At 44.8% G+C, this 3,399-nt stretch overlaps 1 annotated feature.

The window, feature by feature from the left end:
* Positions 202-784: an enhancer, noted in NCBI's record as "NANOG hESC enhancer chr10:30862856-30863438 (GRCh37/hg19 assembly coordinates)". NCBI's record gives its function as "activates a minimal SCP1, AML or CMV promoter by ChIP-STARR-seq in primed H9 embryonic stem cells {active_cell/tissue: H9 hESC(primed)}" and the evidence as "EXISTENCE:reporter gene assay evidence [ECO:0000049][PMID:30033119]".

The following is a 3,399-nucleotide window of genomic DNA, read 5'->3' as shown; positions in this document are numbered from 1 at the left end:
AATGGTTTACTTAACACAACTGGTTCTAGACCCCAAGTCCAACAGCAGTTGGTGCGGCCATCAGCCTCGTGAGGTCATACTGTTTCTTCTTCATGAAGAAGTCTCTGTCCTCTTCATTTCGCAATAGCACCCCTCTCTGGAATCTGGGCATAACAACTGCATCCCTTTGTTATTATTGACATTATCTTTTTTTTAAAAGGACTGCATCACTTTGAAAACCTGAATTATCATATTTATATTCATACGCATCTTCCCAGGTGCATCAAAAGTTCCTTAGGAGCAGGTCCATGTCGGATGCATCTTTGGATTCACTCACTGTGCCTAGGACAAGGCTAGCACTTAGAAGGAAATCAACAAACTCTCTCAATGTTTGACGAAATCAAGCTGTGAAACCAGTTCCAGAACAGAATCTGGTTTCTCCATTTCCTTGAGGTTAAGTCTGGGCCAACAAGAGGCACTAACATGCCCACTTCTCTGTAACAGCATGCACCATTTTGAAAGGTCCCTGCTCACTCAACACATTGAAATCACAATAGGAGAATGGCTTCCTTCCGTTGAAATCAAACTGGGTGGCTCACCTGTGCTTTTTGTATTCACATTTCATAGAAAACACCTTTATCACTGCTCCTGTGACTCTCTTCGGGCAACCACAGTGATATTAAATCTTGCAGAGTTCCATTTTTAGAAACATTACTAAAGGCCAGTGTCATTTGCATAAACTCTGCACAGTCCTATTATGTCCTCAACTTAAGTTAAAAGAAGGAAGTTTAGGAAAAGCACACTTCCATATCTGTGCAGAAAGTTGTCATGAGGAAAGTAAAGGCTCAAGAGAGGAGTGTGCCAACCCCATGCAGGACCCATGAATAGAAGGCTCAGCTGAGTGGCCAGAGTAGGCCGTTGGCACTGACCTGGCCAATCTCCCTAAACCTTATTTGGATAATAAATTATTTCATCTAATCGCCTGGGGCTGTTTACCTCGGGTTAAATAATTTCATTACAGTACTATGATTTCTGCATTAGCATTTTTTTTAGGTTAATTAAATGATTTACCACATTGCGTCCAGGCACGGTGGCTCACGCCTGTAATCCCAGCACTTTGGGAGGCCGAGGCGGGTGGATTGCCTGAGGTCGGGAGTTCGAGACCAGCCTGACCAACATGGAGAAACCCTGTCTCTACTAAAAATACAAAAAATCAGCTGGGCGTGGTGGTGCATGCCTGTAATCCCAGCTACTCGGGAGATGGAGGCAGGAGAATCACTTGAACCCGGGAGGTGGAAGTTGCGGTGAGCCGAGATCACGCCATTGCACTCCAGCCTGAGCAACAAGAGCAAAACTCCGTCTCAAAAAAAAAAAAAAAAAATTTACCACGTTGGTATCTTTACAAAACTATCGACTCAGCAAACTGCAGCCCCTCTCTTCATCATATATGTAACAATAAGGCAGTACAGTGTTTTAGTGCATGGACTCTGGCCACACAAACCCACATTCAACTCTTGGCTCTAATACGTACTACTGGACAGCCCTTGAAGAGTTTATTTAATCTCTCAAAGACTCAGTTAACTCACCTATTAAGTGGGAATCATAATACTACCTACCTCAGCGGATTGTGAGAGGAGTTAAGGAGATGTTGTATGTTGTGGGTATGACTGGCTGGGGACAGTTTCATGGGCAGCAAAGAAAGTTACCAAGACAGTTGTAAGTAAAGAAAGGCAGATAAATTAGAGAAAGTATGAGGATACGTTTCATGGGTACAATGGGCAGCACAGCAGAAAAGAGGCTGTCTACAAAGAGTCAGTGACTGGGGGAAGTTTTATAAGGTTGTGCTGGACACGCTATGTGCAGATGAGGTTGTGCTGCTGAGGCTACATGTGGAGTAAGGTATTTGGGAACAGGATTTGGGTTGTCAGTGATTAGCCATCTCTTGGAACGATTGTTCTCTCCTACCTGGGACGCCTTCCTCATTGTTGCTTACCTATCTTATCAGGACTCCACGCTGAGGACATGGCATACTCTCTGCATGTAGTGAGTGCCCAGTCAATACCAGTTTTGGTGCCGATGATAATGATGAGGATGAGGATGAGGATGCATTTGTCTAACAAACACAGAGGATGGTACCAGTCTACCAAGAGTAGGGCATGTGCTCCCAGATGTGTTTCTGGCTGTGGTGATAGTGATGACGATTCCCAAATTTATCCCCACCTTTCTTACCAAGTAACTACTCTTGTTTATGTCCACACGAGAATCACTAGCAGCAGTTAGAGAATGTCAAAGTGGCTGTCTTAGTCTGTTTGGGTTGCTATACTATAATAAAATGCCGTATATTGGGTGGCTTATAAGCAATAAGAAACTTACTTCTCACAGTTCTGGAGGCTAGGATTTCCAAGATGAAGGTGCCAGCAGATTTGGTGTCTTGTGAGGGCCTGCTTCCTGGCACCTTCTCACTGTGTCTTCACATGGTGGAAAGGATGAAGGATCTCTCTCAGGCCTCTTTTGAAAGGGCACAAATCCCATTTATGAGGGCTCCACCCTATGACGTAATTATCTCCCAAGTGTCCAATCTCCTAATATCATCACTTTGGAGGTCAGGATTTTGTTTTTTTTTTAGACAGAGTCTCGCTCTGTCACCAGGCTGGAGTACAGTGGCACAATCTCGGCTCACTGCAACCTCCACCTCCCAGGTTCAAGGGATTCTCCTGCCTTTGTCTCCCAAGTACCTGGGACTACAGGTGCGTGCCACTATGCCTGACTAATTTTTGTATTTTTAGTAGAGACGAGGTTTCACCATGTTGGCCAGGATGGTCTTGATCTCTTGACCTTGTGATCTGCCCACCTCGGCCTCCCAAAGTGCTGGGATTACAGGCATGAGCCACTGCGCCCAGCCGGCGGTTAGGATTTTAACATACACATTTTAAGAGGACACAAACACTCAGACCATAGCAGTGGCCCATCACAAAGTAGAATGTCTATTTGCAAAATTGTGGTCCATTACTTTTAACTTCCTTATATATTTTGCTCACCTCAAAACCAACTCCACCATGGTAGGCTGATAGAATGATGGATAAGCAGTGGATGATAAGTATACGCATGCATCTGCTTCAGGCTTTACATATTGACACATACTGTTGAAAGTCAACCTGTCAATAAAAACACTGAACCAGGCGAGGCACAGGGGCTCACACCTGTAATCCCAGCCCTTTGGGAGGCTGAGGTGGGTGGATCACCTGAGATCAGGAGTTCAAGACCAGCCTGGCTAAGATGGTGAAATCTTGTCTCTACTAAAAAATACAAAAAATTAGCTGGGCATGGTGACATACTCCTGTAATCCCAGGTACTCAGGAGGCTGAGGCACAAGAATCACTTAATCTGGGAGGCAGAGGTTGCAGTGAGCCGAGATCATAC

This window comes from Homo sapiens, chromosome 10 (assembly GCF_000001405.40).
Source record: "Homo sapiens chromosome 10, GRCh38.p14 Primary Assembly".
Classification (NCBI taxonomy): Eukaryota; Metazoa; Chordata; class Mammalia; order Primates; family Hominidae; genus Homo; species Homo sapiens.
Note: the sequence above shows the minus strand (reverse complement) of the source record. Positions and strands in the feature narration are given on the sequence as shown.